This window comes from Homo sapiens, chromosome 15, assembly GCF_000001405.40.
Source record: "Homo sapiens chromosome 15, GRCh38.p14 Primary Assembly".
In the NCBI taxonomy this organism is placed as follows: domain Eukaryota; kingdom Metazoa; phylum Chordata; class Mammalia; order Primates; family Hominidae; genus Homo; species Homo sapiens.
The window spans coordinates 22822991-22844971 of NC_000015.10; the positions used below are offsets into that span (position 1 = coordinate 22822991).

At 45.1% G+C, this 21981-nt stretch overlaps 2 protein-coding genes across 53 annotated transcripts in view, besides 3 other annotated features; both read left to right on the forward strand.

The window, feature by feature from the left end:
* The window catches only part of NIPA1 (NIPA magnesium transporter 1), a 43565-nt gene extending 36766 nt beyond the window's left edge, over positions 1-6799 (forward strand). For both annotated transcript variants that reach the window (NM_001142275.1, NM_144599.5), the window contains exon 5: positions 738-6799. In NM_001142275.1, coding sequence (NP_001135747.1) covers positions 738-1249 — 512 coding nt within the window. In that variant the 3' untranslated portion in view covers positions 1250-6799. The remainder of the gene's footprint in view (positions 1-737) is intronic.
* Positions 3899-4651: an enhancer, noted in NCBI's record as "OCT4-NANOG-H3K27ac-H3K4me1 hESC enhancer chr15:23045427-23046179 (GRCh37/hg19 assembly coordinates)". NCBI's record gives its function as "activates a minimal SCP1, AML or CMV promoter by ChIP-STARR-seq in naive H9 embryonic stem cells {active_cell/tissue: H9 hESC(naive)}" and the evidence as "EXISTENCE:reporter gene assay evidence [ECO:0000049][PMID:30033119]".
* Positions 15573-15802: an enhancer, noted in NCBI's record as "active region_9156". NCBI's record gives its function as "activates an Ori minimal core promoter by ATAC-STARR-seq in GM12878 lymphoblastoid cells {active_cell/tissue: GM12878}" and the evidence as "EXISTENCE:reporter gene assay evidence [ECO:0000049][PMID:35858748]".
* The window catches only part of NIPA2 (NIPA magnesium transporter 2), a 29719-nt gene continuing 23413 nt past the window's right edge, over positions 15676-21981 (forward strand). For 7 of the 51 annotated variants that reach the window (XM_017022649.3, XM_047433162.1, XM_011543878.4 and 4 more), the window contains exons 1-2: positions 15676-16184; positions 16665-16800. The gene's annotated coding sequence lies outside the window, so the exon portion shown is untranslated. Of the gene's footprint in view, positions 16185-16664; positions 16801-20111; positions 20300-21981 lie in introns of all 51 variants that reach the window. The other 44 variants (XM_011543879.4, XM_017022659.2, XM_017022650.3 and 41 more) reach the window with 12 other exon arrangements.
* Positions 21672-21781: an enhancer, noted in NCBI's record as "active region_9157". NCBI's record gives its function as "activates an Ori minimal core promoter by ATAC-STARR-seq in GM12878 lymphoblastoid cells {active_cell/tissue: GM12878}" and the evidence as "EXISTENCE:reporter gene assay evidence [ECO:0000049][PMID:35858748]".

Sequence of the window (21981 nt, forward strand, 5' to 3'; positions counted from 1 at the left end):
TCACTGCAACCTCTGCCTCCCGGGTTCAAGCGATTCTCCTGCCTCAGCCTCCTGAGTAGCTGGGATTACTGGTGCATGCCACCACGCCTAGCTAATTTTTTGTATTTTTAGTGGAGAACAGGGTTTCACCAAGTTAGCCAGGATGGTATTGATCTCCTGATCGGCCCACCTCGGCCTCCCAAAGTGCTGGGATTACAGGTGTGAGCCATTGTGCCCTTCTGTAAATTTTTTTTTTTTTTTCTGAGATGGAGTCTTGCTCTGTCACCCAGGCTGGAGTACAGTGGTTTGATCTCGGCTCACTGCAACCTCCACCCCCTAGGTTCAAGTGATTCTCCTGCCTCAGCCTCCCAAGTAGCTGGGATTACAGGCGCGCTGTAATTTTTGTACTTTTAGTAGAGACGGGGTTTCACCATCTTGGCCAGGCTGGTCTTGAACTCCTGACCTCATGATCCACCTGCCTTGGCCCCCCAAAGTGCTGGGATTACAGGCATGAGCCACCGCGTCTGGCTAACCCGGCTGTAAATGTTTTAACAGTGAAAATGATGGGAATACTTTTGTGGAATGAAATCAGTGGGTCTGGTAAATTCAAGCCAGAGCCCACATGCTCCCCAGGGCTGTGCCGCAGTAGAGGCCGGTGGCGGGTGGCGGGTGGGGGCCCGGGTGCTGCCCCAGTCCACCTCCTGGGTTGCGGCTGCTAGGCGGTGGCTCCGGGTGACTGTGTGCTGTCTGTGTTCCAGTGTTTGTGGGCTACCTGTGCATCGTGCTGCTCATGCTGCTGCTGCTCATCTTCTGGATCGCGCCGGCCCATGGGCCCACCAACATCATGGTCTACATCAGCATCTGCTCCTTGCTGGGCAGTTTCACCGTGCCTTCCACCAAGGGCATCGGGCTGGCGGCCCAAGACATCTTGCATAACAACCCGTCCAGTCAGAGAGCCCTCTGCCTGTGCCTGGTACTCCTGGCCGTGCTCGGCTGCAGCATCATCGTCCAGTTCAGGTACATCAACAAGGCGCTGGAGTGCTTCGACTCCTCGGTGTTCGGGGCCATCTACTACGTCGTGTTTACCACGCTGGTCCTGCTGGCCTCAGCCATCCTCTTCCGGGAGTGGAGCAACGTGGGCCTGGTGGACTTCTTGGGGATGGCCTGTGGATTCACGACCGTCTCCGTGGGGATTGTCCTTATACAGGTGTTCAAAGAGTTCAATTTCAACCTTGGGGAGATGAACAAATCTAATATGAAAACAGACTAGATTGCAATAGGAGCTTGGATGGTTCGAGGAATAGGCATTGGAGGTGGTTTCTGGCCGTGATTGGATGTGAAGTAGAAGAGGTCCTCGATCATGGTGTTAGAATTGACTGGATAGTAACAGGTGGTCTGGTGGATAGCGGGGAGCATGGCTCAGCACCAGAGCAGAGGCCCAGCCAGCCCTCTGCAGCCCAAACGTCCCCAACGGTTGCCTGGCACCATCTCTCTCTGATGAGACGAATCTCATTTTCATTTCCATTAACCTGGAAGCTTTCATGAATATTCTCTTCTTTTAAAACATTTTAACATTATTTAAACAGAAAAAGATGGGCTCTTTCTGGTTAGTTGTTACATGATAGCAGAGATATTTTTACTTAGATTACTTTGGGAATGAGAGATTGTTGTCTTGAACTCTGGCACTGTACAGTGAATGTGTCTGTAGTTGTGTTAGTTTGCATTAAGCATGTATAACATTCAAGTATGTCATCCAAATAAGAGGCATATACATTGAATTGTTTTTAATCCTCTGACAAGTTGACTCTTCGACCCCCACCCCCACCCAAGACATTTTAATAGTAAATAGAGAGAGAGAGAAGAGTTAATGAACATGAGGTAGTGTTCCACTGGCAGGATGACTTTTCAATAGCTCAAATCAATTTCAGTGCCTTTATCACTTGAATTATTAACTTAATTTGACTCTTAATGTGTATATGTTCTTAGATTAGAATAATGCAACTTCGAGTATGCTTTAATATTTCAATATTCAAGTTACAAATGTATAAGGCAGTTAGAAATAATACAGTCACATGTCACTTAATGATAGGGAAACATTCTGAGAAATGCATTGTAAGGTGACTTTATTGTGTGAACATCATGGAGTGCACTTATACAAACCTAGATGGGACACCTATGACCCACCCAGGCCAGATGGTACAGCCTGTTGCTCCTGGGCCACACACCTGTACAGCATGTGACCGCACTGAATACCGCAGGCAATTGTAACACAGTGGTGAGTATTTGTGTTTACAAACATAGGAAAGGTACAGTAAAACTATGGTATTACAATGTTATGGGACCACCGTCATGTAAGTGGTATGTCTTTGACAGAAACATGGTTACGTGGTTCATGACTGTATATTCACTGGAAGATAGTCAAGACTAAAGACACATTAGAGCAAATTGACCCCTTTAACATGTGATTATTGTCCAATTAAAGACAGTTGATTTAAGTAGCATGAGGTATTATTTTATTTGTATTCGATCTGTGTTACCTGGGATCCAGTATCAAATATATCCACATTCTTTATCAGCAAGCATTCATGGCCATTCAGAAGAAATAAATTAGGTAACTTGATAATAAGGCTAAGTGGGAGAGTACCTGTTCAATAGCTCATATATCGAGTACCCTGTCATACAGGAACAAGTTAAAGGACACAATTGAGGTTAGGCTAGCTTCTACAAATTGCAATATGCAGTTTTTGAAAGATTTTCTAACAAAAAGCCAATAAATGTAGCCATCTCCTTGTTGTTTGCAATGGCAGAGCATCCTAGAGTTCCTCAGCTAACCTCTCATTATGTGTCTTAAATGCAAAAGAGCCATTAATTATGCCAGTATTTGAATCAAAGAGGTCATTCTCTGTCTATAGTGTTCCCATCCATGTGTTCCAAATGGGAGCATAGCATGAAGTGATGCACATATTTCACCACGGTATCATGTACTTCATGGCCAGTGTTTTATCTCAGCAGGGAACTACGCCAAGTTGAAAGATGGGGTTGGGTAAAGTAGATTAGGTGAAGTAGAACATAAAATTGAATAGTACCCAATTAAAGTTCCTCAGTAAGAAAAAAAATGTGTTTTTGTAGGCAAAAAGAACATTTCTAAAGTCTCAAGGAATAGCTTCCTAAAGTGTTGAGTAAAGAGGCTAAATAAAATGAGACTAGTTTAATATAGAGAGAAAAATACCTTTATGGAGTAAACGTGTACATGATGATCATGGGTTGTCAGTGATTTGTGAACTGAGAGCAGCAACAACATTATTTTTTAAAAATCTTAAATCCTCTCAATGGATGGTTAACAAATGCTCAAAGTCCATTACTCTTTTTATTGGCTCTTGCAGGTTTTGTGTTTTATCATCAGTGCTTTTAGAAATGCAGGCCTTAACTTACTGAACTGAACTTTCTGAAAACGTAATGTAGCAGTATCAATATACTTTTGGGCATAAAAATAGTTTCCTAGGTAAGGGGTGTGAGATATTCAAAGAATACATGTGGCTAACAAGTGTAATGAGAAAGTTCATGTGTCACATGAAAATGATCATGTTTGTGTTGCTACAGCTTTTGTGGGAAATTTAGTTTAAAGGCAGCTCTTGGTGTACCTTAGTATATTTTAATCCACAATTATACCATTGATACTGAGAGGTGATACCCGATGATCTTCTCTATAATATTCTTAGAGTAAAACAAAATCTCAAAAGTATTAATAGCTCTTCTACCCTTGAAGGTGACTGGTCCTGGGACAGTTAGAATCTTTCAGGTTTACCTCTGTTCAGCAGATACTTCAGTAGGATACATAGCTTTTCTTCCAGTGAAACAAAGTTCATATCATCCATTGTTTTTCAAGCACGTGACACCAGCCTCAAAGTAAATGACATGACCAGTGGTTGAACAGTCTAATTTTCAAATTTAATATAGAGCATATAACTTCTGATTTGATAGTATTTATTTTAAAAAATTATGTTTTCATCATTCATTTGAAAATGAAAAAGCCCCAAAGTGAGAACTTTGGGGGAGGGCCTAGAACATGGATAGATCTCTTAGTGGTCTTTCCAAAAGTACATGTACTTGAAATATTTTCATTATCATACTATTCTTTGAAAAAAAAGATGCTTACTGTATACTTGTTTTCAAGCATCCTCTAAAATCAAAGGTTTTGATCACAATATGCAGATTTCTCTTGATAGATACTTAAATAGGCTATTTCTCTCCTCTTCTTGGGCAATGCCTTGTTTTCTCCTCTGAATATTTGCATTTGAAAGGATTGCTTCCTGTTCTGCTCATTGATCAAAGGTAGGGCCAATTAAGGATTCTAACCCTAACCCAGCACCACAAAGCCCCCCTGGAGCATCTTCCCGGCTGGCAGGACCATGCCATCTCTGTGGAGAAGGTGCTGGGGAGGGAAGTCCTTCCAGTGCCACATGGAGTGAGGCCCTGCCCATGCTGGGGACTTTGGGGAGGAATTTGGTATTCTGGTGGCCTTGCTCAGCTCTCATTGAGATCTTTTCCTATCAGAATGTTAGTGAATATACTTCGCAGCTCTTTGTTCAGCAATAAGGAATATTCTTTCAATTCCTGCTCTTCAAGCCAATTTACTACACCCAGTTGTCTTTCCAGAAGTTCATCCCAGCGGTAATATGTTGGTGTTTGTTCTTCTTTGGATTTCACATCTGTTTTCTGGTAGAAGTGAGCACTGTTCACTTGTGCAGTCGTCTTATTTTCCTTCTTCCTAGATGACTCAGCTCTTTGTAAATGTTGTGCTCAACTTCTAGGGGCCAGTTCTAGACTTTGGAGATGCAGTGTCTCCCAGGTGTGCACGGACACCTGGTCCGTGGAAACAGGTGTGATGGGCACAGGCTGCTGCCCTTCTGTCTGGTCGGGGGATTCCTCTTCTTCAAGCTGCTCAGCTAACCCAGAAGAGGGGAGAGAGTACTCCGGTGGTTCCCAGAGCCCCTCCCGTTGTGCCGCTTCGACCTGACACCTGCTCGATGCTGACTTAGGCTTCCTGCCACCAAGCAGGAAACTAGAAAGAGAACATTTCAGTGTAAGGTCTGTTCCCGACAGCATGGATTAGCTTCCGTGTTCTGAAGTTGTTCTTTTCATGGTGTCTGACACCGAGGGCGTTGTTCGTCCATCAGGCGGGATTGGATGGAGTCTTGGTGTTTTGCCTTCTCAGGGACCAAAAATGTATCATTGACTCCTTAACAGTGACCTTCCTCCCAAGGACATATCCGTGTTCATTTTTCATAGGTTTTACTCATATTCATAGGTAGATTCTGTTAATGTGAGTTGGAAAGAAAAGACCAATTTGTACACCAGTCACACCACAAGACAGTTTATCATATAAAATACCTCAATTTTTTGTATTCCTCATTTCCACCTCACAATTGTACTGGTGATGAATTTTAAGGGTCTGTCCTTTAGCTTATAGGTGATGTTTCACATCTGGCCAGATTCTTATACCTCCATTGTATACTTGAAAAGGTTCAGAATTACAGGAACAGCAGTGAGAATTTGGCCCACTACCACGACTCATTTGTTTCATTCACATTCCTCACGTGCAACAACATAATTATATTTTAAGAAAATGTAACTTTGTTACATCAAAATATGTTGTCTAGTAAAAAGTTGATATTCAGTAGAACAAGGATCATGTAAATAAACATCTATTTCACATGTACCCAAAAGCATTTAAAAAGCAGAATCCAGGGCCCAGAGCATGAGCCAGGGAGGAGGATGTTTTTCTTCTTTTCTCTATTTTTCCCTAAATTGTGCAAACATAGGTGAGTCTCTTAACCTTTCTGTGCCTCAGTTTTTCTACCTCTAAAGGGGTGGGATGGTTCTTCAAATTGTTTCTAAAACACCGGCACTTTCAGCAGTGTTCTGGTGGCCTGAGATGAGAGCACCGTGTTCAGAAGTGCCTGGGAGTGGCACAGTGGAAACTCCGCTTGCACGGACCATGGAGTCTGCTCAGGACCATGCTGTAGGACACACAGCCTCATGCGCTGAGAAAGCAAAGGAAGTGCTGGGTGTAAAGTTTGCATGATTCCATGAAGCTTTAGTTTTCCTTTTTTTGTTTTAAAAGAAAGGGTTTTATATGTTCTATTGTAAAATATGGAAATTAAACAGGGACTTCAGAAAGCCGCACAGAAAGATCACCTTCCGATGGTGTGATGTGCTCCTGACATTCGGCCGAGGTCTGTATTCTGAAAAAGATTTAATGGCCTGTGAAACACGTGGATTCTGTTGCACTGGATTTGTAATAAATGACGCTGAACTTCCTGCTTCCAAGCAGCTCAACCCTGATGCTGAACTGACACCAGGCGAATGTCAGGGCTCCCAAACCACTAGTGCCAAAGGGTCATGTTGAAAAGTTCAGAATATTTATTTGTCAGAATATAATAATTGCCCCCCACCTTAGTATTTTTGCACTTTACAGAAATTTAGATACTGTTTTTCAGTGGCTTGAGCGTTTTGCCTTTTCAAAGGATAACTATTATTTTCTTGAAAATGGAATATAATCATGAGAGGAAGAAGATGTAAAAAATGTCAAATGTTGATTGGTTGTGTAAAAGTTTTGTCATAGACATGTATTGGGGAGCTTCCAATTAGCATACATAGACACATGTGTCAGTGGCCAAGACCTGCTTATATTTTGCTTTATAGATGTAGTCATAGCATGTTGTTATTGCCTCATGTAAATAAAAAGGCTATTAAGTTTTCCAGTAATATTTATTAATCTGTATGTGTTTTAAAATAAAATAACTTATTTCTAGCTGAACATTTGTTGATTTTTTTTTTTCCCTTTACTTGAAATGCTTATGTAGTCTCAGGTTCCAGATCATCCCAGTTCCTCCCATTTTTCCTATTCTCTTTTTAGAAATGAGTAGCCTAGGCTGGGTGCAGTGGCTCATGCCTGTAATCGCAGCACTTTAGGGGGCTGAGGCGGGTGGGACACTTGAGGCCAGGAGTTTGAGACCAGCCTGGTCAACATGGTAAAACCCCATCTCTACTAAAAAATAACAAAAATTAGACAGGCATGGTGGTGCACATCTGTAGTCCCAGGTACTCAGCAGGCTGAAGCAGGAGAATCACTTGAACTTGGGAGGCAGAGGTTGCAGTGACCGAGATCACAGCACTGCACTCCAGCCTGGACAACAGAGCGAGACTCCATCTCAAAAAAAAAAAAGACAGAAATGACTAGCCTCTAGATCTCTATAACAATGTAGAAAATGTCTACCTGTGGGCCAGGTGTGGTGGCTCACACCTGTAATCCCAGTGCTTTGGGAGGCTGAGGCGGGCGGATCACCTGAGGTCGGGAGTTTGAGAGTAGCCTGACCAACATGGAGAAACCCTGTCTCTGCTAAAAATACAAAATTAGCCAGAGGTGGTGGTGCATGCCTGTAATCCCAGCTACTCAGGAGGCCGAGGCAGGAGAATCACTTGAACCTGAGAGGCAGAGGTTGCAGTGAGCCGAGATCACACCATTGCACTCCAGCCTGGGCAACAAGAGCAAAACTCCGTCTCAAAAACAAAACAAAACAAAACAAAAAAGGCCAGGTGCGGTGGCTCACGCCTATAATCCCAGCACTTCAGGAGGCCAAGGCAGGCAGATCACGAGGTCAGGAGTTCGAGACCAGCCTGGCCAACATGGTGAAACCCCGTCTCTACTAAAAATACAAAAATTAGTTGTGCGTGGTGGTGTGTGCCTGTAATCCCAGCTACTCCAGAGGCTGAGGCAGGAGAATCACTTAAACCCGGGAGGTGGAGGTTGCAGGGAGCCGAGATCGTGCCACTGCACTCTAGCCTGGACGACAAGAGCGAAACTCCGTCTTGGAAAAAAAAAGAAAAAGAAAAAGAAACCGTCTACCTGTGCATCTACCTTAGGGAGCAAATCCATGATGTATGCAGAAATTCCCTGTCCTGCGACTGTCTCTTGATCCAATGAAGTGATAGTATTAAATAAAACCAGCTCTATTTTAATATGTTAGTACCTTTGACATGTTTTTGAGTTGTATAACATATCATTTTACATTTTTAGCCCATAGAAAATGAGACAATTATAACGCATTTTCATACTTCAAGCATCATTAGAAATCTTGTTGCTGATCTTCTTTAGTGTCCTATAATTTTCTTTGTTTTGGTTTTTTTTTTTTTTTTTGAGAGACAGGGTCTCACTCTCTTACAGTCATAGCTCACTGCAGCCTCAAACTGCTGGGCTCAAGCGACCCTCCTGCGTCAGCCTCCCCGGTAGCTAGGACTACAGGCCTGTGCCTCCACACCTGGGTAATTTTTTAATTTTTTTGTAGAGACAGGGTCTAGTTATGTTGCTCAGACTGGTGTCCTATAAGTTATTTTATCAAATGAGAAAAAATGAGTAAGATTTTTTTCTTAGTCTCTATCCCAAAAGATTTAATTATTCACATTTTGATCAAAGTATACTTATACAGAAAACAAGAACAAACATTTTATGAAATCACCAAATGCATCTATGGATAACTCCAGATAGGTTTTTGGGGCTGTGAAGTGTATTAATGCCAAATTCTGCTGTCATTGAACAAAAGCTTGCATTGGTTGGTTACTACTATAGAGTAGTTTGTGCTGGCTGCTAGCCAAGCCTTCCCTGCAAGGGACTTGTTCTAGAATTTCTGTGTTGCTTAGTTACATCCATCCCATCCATCTGATGACCCTTCGTTTTGACATTGTCAGCATGTTTGTTGTAGTATTAGTCACACTTACTTGTTCACCATTAGTTTGAATCTCACATGATAGTTTTAAAAAGGTTTTTAGTTGGAGAGGTGAGACACAGACAAGAAACAGATATAAAAGATCTAGGTACCTCTGCAGCCAGGCACAGTGGCTCACGCCTGTAATCCCAGCACTTTCGGAGGCCAAGGCCGGTGGATTACCTGAGGTCAGGGGTTTGAGACCAGCCTGACCAACATGGAGAAACCCCCGTCTCTACTAAAAATACATAATTAGCTGAGCGTGGTGGTGCACGCCTGTAATCCCAGCTATTCGGGAGGCTGAGGCAGGAGAATTGCTTGAACCCGGGAGGCAGAGGTTGCGGTGAGCTGAGATCACGCCACTGCACTCCAGCCTGGGCAGCAAGAGCGAAACTCCGTCTAAAAAAAAAAAGATCTAGGTACCTCTCTATTACCAGTCCAAAGAGGACAGGATTCATTCCAGCCGAGCACATGAGAAAGAGGTGTGGAACTGGATGGTGGCAAGCAGGACAGCGGTGGTGGTGACCAAGTAAACATAATGAGTGTGAAAATCACTGAGATGATGGACCAGAGGGTGGAGAGAAGGTCAGACCAGGTTGCTCATCTATAACACTGAATCTGTTTTATTTTTGACAAAGACATTGGGGGGATCCCAGCATCTTCTCCTTCCCTTAATTTGGCATACTTATTGTGTTAGTTTTTTATTACGGCTCTTCACAAGTTACATACCTTGTAGCTTAAAACAACACACGCGTATCATCTTACAATTCTGGAGGTTAGAAGTTCCACACAAGCTTTGCTGGGCTAAAATCAAGGTGCAGACAGGATTACTTCCCTCTGGAGGCTCCTGGGAAGAGTCTCATCCCTGCTCTTTTGGTTTCTAGAGGCCGCCTTTGTATCTTGCCTCGTGGCTCCTTCCTCCATCTTTGAAGCCAGCAATGTCATCTCTCTCGCCACTCATCCATCATCATAGCTTACTCTCTGACTCTGACACTCCTGTCACCCTCTTGGAAGGACCTTCATGACTGCTTTGGGCCCACATGGACAATCCAGGGTCAGCTCCCTCTCTCAAGATCCTTAGTTGCCTCTGCAGAGCCCCTTTTGCCATGGAAGGTGGCACAGTCACAGGTTACAAGGTGAGGACGTGGATATCTTTGGGCTTTCTGCTTACCACATCCACTTACCATTTTACCAAGTGAGGCAGTTCACAAAAGCCAACTCCTGGCTTTTAATCACTATCCCACTGTTCTACCTCAATTCACCTTGAGTTATTCCTATATTTTTCAGAAAGTTTCTCCCTGCTCACCCCCAACAAATGTTTTGGAAAATGCCCTACTACATTTGTAGGTCATTGATGGCCTTGAATAAACCAAATAATATTAATTGAAAAGTATTCATATAATAGAAATGCTTTAAAATGGCAGGGAATTATTGGGGAACCTGCCCCGATAGTCACGTAGGTTCTTTTCTATTTTCCCTAAGCATCAGCCGGTTTGAGAAATAAAGGGACAGAGTACAAAAGGGAGAAATTTTAAAGCTGGGCGTCCGGGGGAGACATCACATGTTAGTAGGTTTTGTGATGCCCCCCAAGCCACAAAACCAGCAAGTTTTTATTAGGGACTTTCAAAAGGGGAGGGAGTGTGCGAATAGGTGTGGGTCACAGACATCAAGTACTTTACAAGGTAATAGAATATCACAAGGCAAATGGAGGCAGGGTGAGATCACAGGACCACAGGACGGGGCAAAATTAAAATTGCTAATGAAGTTTCGGGCACCATTGTCATTGATAACATCAGGAGACAGGGTTTTGAGAGCAACCGGTCTGACCAAAATTTATTAGGCAGGAATTTCTTCTTCCTAATAAGCCTGGGAGCACTATGGGAGACTGGGGTCTGTTTCACCCCTGCAGTCTACAGACCATAAAAGACGGCCATGCCCAGGGGGGCCAGTTTAGAGACCCACCCCCAGGCATGTATTCTCTTTCCCAGGGATGTTCCTTGCTGAGAAAAAGAATTCAGCGATATTTCTCCCATTTGCTTTTGAAAGAAGAGAAATATGGCTCTGTTCTGCCGGGCTCACTGGTGGTCAGAGTTTAAGGTTAGCTCTCTTATTCCCTGAACAATTGCTGTTATCCTGTTCTTTTTTCAAGGTGCCCAGATTTCATATTGTTCAAACACACATGCTCTACAATTTGTGCAGTTAACTCAATTATCACATGGTCCTGAGGCGACATACGTCCTCCTCGGCTTACGAGATGACAGGATTAAGAGATTAAAGTAAAGACAGGCATAGGAAATCACAAGAATATTGATTGGGGAAGTGATAAGTGTCCATGAAATCTTCACAATTTATGTTTAGAGATTGCAGTAAAGACAAGCATAAGAAATTATAAAAGTATTAATTTGGGGAACTAATAAATGTCCATGAAATCTTCACAATCCACGTTCTTCTGCCATGGCTTCAGTCGGTCCCTCCCTTTGGGGGTCCCTGACTTCCCGCAACAGGGAATGCCACTATTCATTTTGGAAGGACAAAGGGCAATTTTAACTAGTGATAGGGGTTGAGGTAAAGAAAAAATGATCATCTGCTTTGCTGTTTTGATGCTTCTGTTGTAACAAAACCAAAACATACAAGAGTAATTGGGGAACAATTTATACATAAGAAAACTATTTGATTTCCTAATACATGATTTTTAAAAATACTGTTTTAAAGCTGTTGAAGTCTTGTCATTGTTACAGAAGCACAGGCCAGACTTCTTGCTTCTGTGCCTCTGTAACAATGACAAGATTTCAACAGCTTTATTGGGGTATAATTGACATATAATAAACTGCACATATATAAAATGTGTGATTTGGTAAGTTTTGACAAGTGTCTTATGATGAAAACATTGCCATAAACAAAACACCGAACATCCCCATCACACCAAAGTTTCTTTTTGACCCACTGTAATCCCTTCACCCTCCTTGCCTCCTCTACTCCTAGGGGCCCACTCATCTGCTTTCTGTAACTATACATGGGCTTCCATTTCCTAGGCTTTTATATAAATGTGATCGTTGAGTACACACTGTTTTTTTGGTCTGCTTGTTTCACTTACTAATTATTTTGAGACTCAGCTATGTTAAGGCATGTATCAATAGTTCATCCCCCTGCCTTTTTTTTTTTTTTTGAGGCTTTTTTTTTAGGAGTTTTGCTCTTGTTCCCCAGGCTGGAGTGCAATGGTGCGATCTCAGCTCACTGCAAGCTCCGCCTCCCGGGTTCCCGCTGTTCTCCTGTCTCAGCCTCCCGAGTAGCTGTTACTATAGGTGCCGCCACCACCACACCCAGCTAATTTTTGTAATTTTAGTAGAGACGGGGTTTCACCGTGTTAGCCGGGATGGTCTCAATCTCCTAACCTCGTGATCCGCCCATCTCGGCCTCCCAAAGGGCTGGGATTACAGGTGTGAGCCACCGCACCCGGCCTGCAAGTATTTTTATGGATACATTTCTGTTGAGTAAATACTCAGGAGTAGAACTGCCAGGTCATTTGGTCGGTGTATGTTTAACTTTTTAAGAAACTGTCAACCAATTTTCCAAGGAAATTGTCCCATTTTACAATTCCACCAGTAGTGTATGAGAAGGAGTTAGAGTTTTAAAACCTTAAAAATATCTCATGACAACTGCTTGAACACTCAGAGTATACAAGATGTACAACATCACGGGCTGGAGAAGTGATGTGGGCATGTAAGAAGCCTGCAGCATATTAGCAAGGTATATATAGACTTATAAAGACAATGCACTGTGCAGTGTCGGGGGAGGTGTCCGGTGGGAGGTCCAAATAATGACAGAAAGCTGATTAGATGAGGTGGAGCTCCAGCTGGCAGAAAGGAGTGACAAGCAAATTTGTTCGTTAGGTTAAATTAACATATCGACACCTAAGCATTCCTGTTCATGTGAACAAACCACTACTTTATTACTCATCTGCCTCCTAGAGCAGCAGTCCCCAACCCTTTTGGTACCAAGGACTGATTTCATAGAAGACAATTTTTCCACAGACGCTGGGGAAGGGGGGCGCGGGGAGGATGTTTTCGGGATGAAAGTGTCCCACCTCAGATCATCAGGCATTATTTAGATTCTCATAAGGAGCGTGCAACCTAGATCCCTCGCATGCACAATTCACAATAAGGTTCGCACTCTTGGGGACCTCTGTCCTAGAGGTATTTGTTGGCATCTGTATCAGTTAGTTATTGCTACATACCAATCTACCCCAAAATAAGTGGCTCAGACAATAGTAATTTATCCTTCCTCATGTGTTTATGGGTTAATGGGGCAGTTTTGGTCAGTGGCTGGTCTCAATGGTAGTCAGCCAGCATTTACCTAGGTGGATTTGCTGCTTGCCTTGCCCCATGTGGTCCCCTCCTCCAGCAGGCTAGTCCAGGCATCATAATTTAGTCTGGAACTGCCACATGTTCTTGGCCAAAGCCCAAGGCCAGTACAGATTCAGGAAATAGAGGGGAGCTGCAAAGTCACTGCAAAATGTGTGGGAAATTGGAGCCATTTTTCATCAATCTACCACATCACCTGAGACCAACTTGTCAACCGTCTTTCAATATTCAATGGAATTCCTTATCTGAGAGTGTCAACTAGCCAAAACATGGCTGAGACCAAAGAAAGTAATAGATCCTCTGAGCCAGTTCTGAGATGCAAGTAATAGGTCCTCTGAGCCAGTTTTAAGATGATTGCTAGGCTCACGGCAGATTAAAAGCTTTAAAATTAGAAGCTGCATAGTGACCTAAACCAAAACCAGAGTGGTCAGGGGCTGTGTATACAGTCTAGAACACAACAGTCCAATAGGATTAGAGCCTGAAAAGGACAAATGATATTTGGTGTTTTGTTTCAAAAAGTGCATAATTCATTTTATAAAGATCCTCCCCCCACATGATTTGAATTTCATATAATAGTGTTTTTGTGTCTAGTCACAACCTGGAACAACATTCCTAAGGGACTCTACACCTGCAACCAAGGAATCATTGATTTACTAGGAGATCTAACTCTAGCTGGCTACTCTTTGCTTCTTACAAATGAGCTCTGTCTTTGACTACTTTTGCAGAAACCACGTTGGTGGATCCCAAGGAATTTCTCCTTTCCAGGAGGAGCCAAGGCAGGATAGCCTAACAGTTAGTTTCCTATACATCTCATGAAAAATAAATCTGCGCTTTGGGAGGCTGAGGCGGGTGAATCACGAGGTCAAGAGATCGAGACCATCCTGGCCAACATGGTGAAACCCTGTCTCTAATAAAAATGCAAAAATTGGCTGGGTGTGGTGGCTCACACCTGTAATCCCAGCACTTTGGGAGGCCGAGGCGGGCGGATCACGAGGTCAGGAGTTCGAAACCAGCCTGGCCAACATGGTGAAACCCCATCTCTACTAAAAATACAAAAATTAGCTGGGCGTGGTGGTGTGCACCTGTAATCCCAGCTACTGGGGAGGCTGAGGCAGGAGAATGGCTTCATTGAACCCAGGAGGCAGAGGTTGCAGTGAGCCGAGATCGTGTCACTGCGCTCCAGCCTGGGTGACAAGAAAGACTCCGTCTTAAAAAAAAAAAAAAATTAGCCGGGCGTGGCGGCGCGCGCCTACAGTCCCAGCTATTCGGGAGGCTGAGGCAGGAGAATCGCTTGAACCGGGGAGGCGGAGTTTGCAGTGAGCCGAGATCGTGCCACTGCACTCCAGTCTGGCGACAGAGCGAGACTCTGTCTCAAAATCAATCATTCAATCAATCTGCTCTCAGTGTCTCGAGGCGGGCTTTCACCAAACGTCAACCTCACATCTATTCCGCGACCGGGTCAGTAAGGAAGGGCCCAGCGGTCGTCGAACTACCACAGCTATTTCGGCCCCGCCCCGTCCCGCCCCCAGCTTTGGACCCACCCTTTCCCCCGCTTCTTGCCCTCTTGGGAGCTCTGTTCCCCTTTGGCATCGCCCGGGGACACCAATTAAATGCAGCTTCACACTGTGACTGCCCCTGGGAACCCTCATTTTATTTTATTTATTTATTTATTTTTGAGAAGGAGTCTCGCTCTGTCGCCCAGGTGGAGTGCAGTGGCTGATCTCGGCTCACTGCAACCTCCGCCTCCCGAGTTCAAGCGATTCCCCTGCCTCAGCCTCTGGAGTAGCTGAGATTACTGGCGCGCACCAACACGTCCAGCTAATTTTTGTATTTTTAGTAGAGATGCGGTTTCCCCATGTTGGTCACGTTGGTCTCGAACTCCTGACCTCGTGATCTGCCCGCCTCGGCCTCCCAAAGTGCTGTGATTACAGGTGTGAGCCACCGCGCCCGGCCGGAACCCTCATTTATTCTATTTTTTTTTGAGACGGAGTCTCGCTCTGTCGCCCAGGCTGGAGTGCAGTGGCGGGATCTCCGATCACTGCAAGCTCCGCCTCCCGGGTTCGCGCCCTTCTCCTGCCTCAGTGTCCCGAGTAGCTGGGACTACAAGCACCCGCCACCACGCCCGGCTAATTTTTTGTATTTTTAGTAGGGGCGGGGTTTCACCGTGTTAGCCAGGATGGTCTCGATCTGCTGACCTCGGGATCCGCCCGCCTTGGTCTCCCAAAGTGCTGGGATTACAGGCGTGAGCCACAGCGCCGGGCCCGGAATCCTCGTTTTAAATAAGGGCCACGCCGGAGTTTGATTTTGAACTGATCGGCCAACGCCACCTGGCAGCATACTGTACTGCTTAACTACGCTTCCAGCTTCGTCCCTCGCCAGGTCCCGCCTGGATCCTGCGCCCCGCCCCCGTCCCCACACTCTACGCGCCCCGCCCTCCGCGCTCAGCCGACTGGGGCCTTGTAAAGGAACCGGAACCCGGCGGGAGAGAGCCCCGGGGGCGGGGTGTACGTGGTGCGGCACTGCGCGTGCGCGCGAGGCCTCTTGCGTCATTTAGCCGCGCCTAGGTTTTCCGGCGCCGGCCCTAGGTCCCGGCAGCGGTGGTGACGGCGGTGCCGGAGGTTGTCCTTGGCAGGTTTTCCTCGGCGCTTCTCCATGGAGGAGGCGGTGCGAACGGCTTCAGCCCCGAATGCTCGCATCTCCCACTGGACGGCGACGAAGGCGGTGGCCGTGCGAGCGCAGGACTGGGCGGCCTGTGTGGGGGTGTGAGCCGCGGTGCCCAAGGCTGCGCCGGCGAGGGGAAGCCGCGCGGCCGGCCGGCCGACTAGGGTGAGGTCGCCACTCCTTCCTTTCAGGCAAGCGCGAAGGGGCTGACTTGGTGGCGAGCCAGCCCGCCTTGTGTCGGAGAAGGGTTCTTCGGGCAACTTTCCTTTCCGGGTGTTCTGAAGCGGTTTTCCTGTAATCCTCAGTGAGGAAACCCACCGTGAATCGGATTGCCGTTCAGTCCCACGGAAGCCTGGCTCGTTGGCCATGTCGGGGACGCATGTTCATTAAGTTCATTAAAATAATTTCATTTGTCTTGGTGAGTTTTAGAAGGTGGCTTCAGCTGCTGCGGGGATCATAACTGACAGTTAAACAAGCCTTAGAAGTCTGCTGTGACGTTTTGAGCCTGACTGTTTTAATTTCCTTTTATAAAATCACGGAATCCTATTTCCCTCTCTATACAATTGCTCAAAACTGTGTGTTTAGTTTGGTGTTTGTGCCTCCTTAATTTCTTTTCTAGGTTGTTAGTTCATTTAATACAGGACTGCATGTTAAGTTCTGTTTCTAGAAATCCTGTGTATAGCCATGTGCCCGGTTAATACTTTTTTTAGTAAGAGGAAATATCAGAGTCGAGAGTTTCCATTCCAGTAAGCTGCCTGTCGAAGCAGTAGTTGTGCTCGATTGAGTAGGTTTTATGTTGATTGGTTGGCAAAATGAGTATGAAGGCTAGTAACCAAATTATAAAACGTACTTAGTAACTTTAAGTCTTTTGCCTACTTCTGTGTTTTCTTCTTTCTAGGCTGGAGCTACTCGGCCAGGGTTTAAGACTTTAAATGAGAATAAAGGGTGGTATTTACGAGGAAATGAGAGTGAATAAGTCATCTCTAACCTCTCCCAGCCTTTTTTTCATAAGAGAGACCATATTAAACTTACATGTAAGTTAAAATTGTAATTTATAACTAATATTGTTGCATAGTTAGGGTTGGAGATTTAGGTTCTGTAATATTTATAAGTACAGTACTGCTTTGAAAAATTATTAGCCAAGTGAGAGGTTGGAAAAAATTAAATCTAACATGTATTTAATTTTTCTGAGCCAAGGTCTTGCTCTGTCCCCAGGCTAGACGGTGCAATCTGGGCTCACTGCAACTTCCGCCTCCCGGGCTCAAGTGCTCCTCCCACCTCAGCCTCCCCAGCAGCTGGGACCACAGACGTGCGGCACCATGCCTGGCTAATTTTTGTATTTTTTTTAGAACCGGGGTTTCACCATGTTACACCGGCTGGTCTCCTAATTCTGGACTTAAGCGATCCAACCACCTTGGCCTCCAAAGTGCGGGGATTACAGGTGTGAGCCACCGAGCCGGGCCTAAGCTAACTTAGATAGCAGTGGAAACCAGGTAGTAAAGATTTCGTAGAAAACTAAGAGCTCTATATATAGTTTTTTTTTTTGTTTTTTTTTTTTTGAGATGGAATCTTGCTCTGTCACTCGGGCTGGAGTGCAGTGGCACGATCTCTGCTCACTGCAACCTCCGCCTCCTGGGTTCAAGCGGTTCTCCTGCCTCAGCCTCCGGAGTAGCTGGGGTTACAGGCGCCGGCGACCACGCCCAGCTAATTTTTGTATTTTTAGTAGAGACGGGGGTTTCACCTTGTTGGCCAGGCTGGTCTCTTAACTCCTGACCTCAGGTGATCCGCCCGCCTCGACCCCCCAAAGTGCTGGGATTACAGGCGTGAGCCACCGCGCCCGACCTAAGAGCTCTAAAGTGTTAATGTAATGTGGGCAGCCGGGTGTAGAAGTAAAGTCCCTTTCTGTGTGGTCCTCTGCATGTGACTCTTTTTTACCCCTGGGAGGTTTCCTTAGCTGTAAAGTGATACCTTCATCTTATTGCGTAGAAGAGAAATGAGTAGAAATGATGCATGGAATAGTGCCTGGGGAGGTGTTCAGTAAGTGGTAGCTATTGTTAGGGAGAGATAATAAAAAGAATTTCACATATTTTCAGAATGTTTTTAATAGGTAAATATGGTTTACTCATATTTAAAACACATGACTTTGAATATTACATTTTTTTATAGATGGTGTAAGCTTCATTTAAACTGATTTATTTGATTGCTATACATTGTGATATTGAACAGAAAGATAAGACTTCTGCAGAGAATAAAAGGTGGGGTGGGGGTGGGAGAGGAAATGGGAGATTTAGGTCACAGGATACAAAGTAGCAGATATTCAGGATGTACAACTTGAGAACTACAGCTAATGAAATTGTATTAGAGATTTTCCTTCAATGAGTAGATTTTAGCTGCTTTTGTCATAAAAAAGTAACTACATGAGATGATAGATATGTTGATTTGCTCTACTGTGGTAACTGTGTTAGTATCTGTATGTTTCCCATAACATAAATCTCAAATATACACAATTTGCAAAGATTTATCTGTGTTGTAGAATTAAATACACCCCTCAGACTAGATTAGAGCATCCTTAAACATTTCTGCATATCTATTTGTTTTATGTAAATGAAGTTGAAACAGAACTACTTAAATAGTTCTGTAATGGCTCCAGATGAAAATAAATTATGATCTGGCCAAATAAATGGGTTGCAGATCTGTTCCTTGCCTTTTGGGTTTGTGTATGGCCCATAGGGCCCCACGTGATCTGACACTCACCTTTTTTTTTCTTCTGAGATGCAGTTTTGCTCTTGTTGCCCAGGCTAGAGTGCAGCTGTGCGATCTCGGCTCACTGCAACCTCCGCCCTCCAGTTTCTAGCGATTCTCCTGCCTCAGCCTCCCGAGTAGCTGGGATTACAGGCGCCCGCCACCATGCCTGGCTGATTTTTGTATTTTTAGTAGAGTCGGGGTTTCACCATGTTGGTCAGGCTGGTCTCGAACTCCTGACCTCATGATCCACCCGCCTCGACCTCCCAAAGTGCTGGGATTATAGGCGTGAGCCACCGCGCCCGGCCGGACACTCGCTTTTTCACGCTAATGTATCTCACCTGCCCTCACTCAAGGTCAGCCACAGTGGCCTTTGTTTAGGAAACTGCACACCCGCTCATACCTCAGAGCCCCTGCACTTGCTTCTCTCTCCTTTGTTCTTTTCAAAAAGCTCTTTGAAGCTTCTACTCAAGTGTTACTGCTCAGCAAGGCCTCCTAACTATGGTCATTAGAATCCCCCAACTCAACTCCCCAGTGCCCTTCACATGTTTTATTTTTTACCATAACATTTGCCACTTTTCCAGAATAATGTCTTTATTTCGTTTATTATTTCGCCCTACCTCTAGCAGGAGATAACCCCATGTGGGCTGTTGTACCCCTGCTCCTAGAATATTGTACATGCTCAGTAAACGTTGGTTGGTTGAGTAAATGATATAAGCAAGCCACATGTTCACTGGGAGCCACAGTGAAGGCAATACTAGTTAAGTACCAAAGTAACCGTAACAGAGGGGTAGTTAGTGTCAACCAAATATGGAGGAGGAAAGGTAGGAGCAGGTTAGAATAGCAGCAGAGTGCTGACCGGGGTAGAACACAGGATGTGTGAAATATGGTATGGGGAAATAAGATCTAGGCTGGGCGCGGTGGCTTACGCCTGTAATCCCAGCACTTTGGGAGGCTGAGGTGGGTGGATCACAAGGTCAGGAGATCGAGACCATCCTGGCTAACATGGTGAAACCCCATCTCTACTAAAAAAAAAACCCAAAATATTGGCCGGGCACGGTAACTCACGCCTGTAATCCCAGCACTTTGGGAGGCCGAGGCAGAAGGATCACCCGAGGTCAGGAGTTCAAGACCAGCCTGACCAACATGGCGAAACCCCATCTCTACTAAAAATACAAAAATTAGCTGGGCGTGGTTGCAGGCACCTGTAATCCCAGATACTCAGGAGGCTGAGGCAGGAGAATCACTTGAACCTGGGAGGCAGAGGTTGCAGTGAGCCAAGATTGCGCCAGCGCACTCCAGCCTGGGGGATAGAGCGAGACTCTGCATCCAAAAAAATTAAAAAATGCAAAAAATTTGCCTAGTGTAGTGGTGGGCGCCTGTAGTCCCAGCTACTCGGGAGGCAGAGGCAGGAGAATGGCATGAACCCAGGAGGCGGAGCTTGCAGTGAGCAGAGATTGCGTCACTGCACTCCAGCCTGGGCAACAGAGTGAGACTCTGTCTCAAAAAAAAAAAAAAGAGAGATCTAAAAGGTAGGTTTGGAACAAATGATGCAGGGTCTTTGTTACTAGTTTACACAATTTGGTCTTCTTGCTACAAACAGGGGTCGTGATTCCAAATTCTTCAGCAGAAGGCTGAGATTGGCAGAGATGAGGAGGCCTGGATTATAGTTCTGCTTCTGCTACCTCAGCTGTGTGACGTGTTACTTAACATCTCTGGACTTGGGCCAGGTGCGGTGGCTCACGCCTGTAATCCCAGCACTTTAGGAGGCCAAGGCTGTTGGATCACGAGGTCAGGAGATCGAGACCATCCTGGCTAACATGGTGAAACCCCCGTCTCTACTAAAAATACAAAAAAATTAGCCATGCATGGTGGTGGGTGCCTGTAGTCCCAGCTACTCAGGAGGCTGAGACAGGAGAATGGCGTGAACCCGGGAGGCAGAGCTTGCAGTGAGCCGAGATAGCGCCACTGCACTCCAGCCTGGGGGACAGAGCGAGACTCCATCTAAAAAAAAAAAAAAAATCTCTGGACCTGGTTCCTCATTGTGGGCCCTTACCACATATCTTTTTAATTAAGGCTTTGTTGAAATGTCAAAAGTGCTGTGAAAAGTTTAAGGCTGTCTATGCACTTCATTTGGTGTAATTTTTTCAATTTTTTCCTTTTTTTTTTTGAGACGGAGTCTCGCCCTGTGGCCCAGGCTGGAGTGCAGTGGTGCAATCTTGGCTCACTGCAACCTCCACCTCCCAGGTTCAATAGATTCTCCTTCCTTAGCCTCACCAGTAGCTGGGATTACAGGCACCCGCCCTCATGGCAAATACAAAAAAATAATTTTTATGTTTTTGTAGAGATGGGGTTTCACCAGGTTGGCCAGGTATGTTTTGTAGAGATGGGGTTTCACCATGTTGGCCAGGCTGGTCTCGAACTCCTGGCCTCAGGTGATCTCCCACCTCGGCCTCCCAAGGTGCTGGGGTTACAGATGTGAGCCGCCGTGCTCGGCCCAGTTGGTGTAATTTTTAAAGTTTGCTAACTTTGGTGATTGTGTTGCCTACTGATAATCATTTTGCAAAGCAGGTCCTAGTTTAGGTTTTCCTTATTAGAATACTAGTCCATTTTTGCCTGTTTCTTAAATCATGTGTTTTCCACATTTTTTAAGAAAGTGGACTAATTTCATAATTTTCTTTTATTTGAGATGTATTTATTCCATTTTTGACATGCTTTATGTTTAATGAAAGTTCACATTACAAATATTAGTAAAATCAATTGTGAAAATTGAACTTGTTGGCCGGGAGTGGTGGTTCACTCCTGTAATCCCAGCACTTTGGGAGGCCAAGGTGGGCGGATCACAAAGTCAGGAGTTCGAGACCAGCCTGGCCAACATAGTGAAACCCCGTCTCTACTACAAAAAATTAGCCGGGTGTGGCAGTACACGTCTGTAATCCCAGCTATGCGGGAGGCTGAGGCAGGAGACTTGCTTGAACCCGGGAGACGGAGGTTGCAGTGAGCCGAGATGGCGCCATCGCACTCCAGCCCGGGCGACAGTGCAAGACTGTGACTCAAAAAAAAAAAGAGTTTGTTAAAATGTAGAGAGAACAAGCAGAACAAAAAAATTAGCTAGGTGTCGTGGTATACGCCTGTGGTCCTGTTGATTTGAGCAGCTGAGGTCAGAGATCACTGCAACCCAGGCATTTGAGACAGCAGTGAGCGATGATCGCGCCACTGCACTCCAGCCTGGGAAACAGAGTGAGACACTGTCAAAAACCACAACAACAACAACAACAACAAAAAAGCCCTTCCCCTCCCACACACAGAATAAGCAGAAAATCATAAGACTCTTTAAAAGTGTTTAAAACGTCAGTAGGTTATTTTTGGAATTTTTAATTCTCTTAGTCGTGGAGTCCTTGAGGATAGGCCCTTTGATCATCTTTACAACTTCAGTGCCTGGCAGATAATAGCTGCTCAGTGTTTGTTGAGCA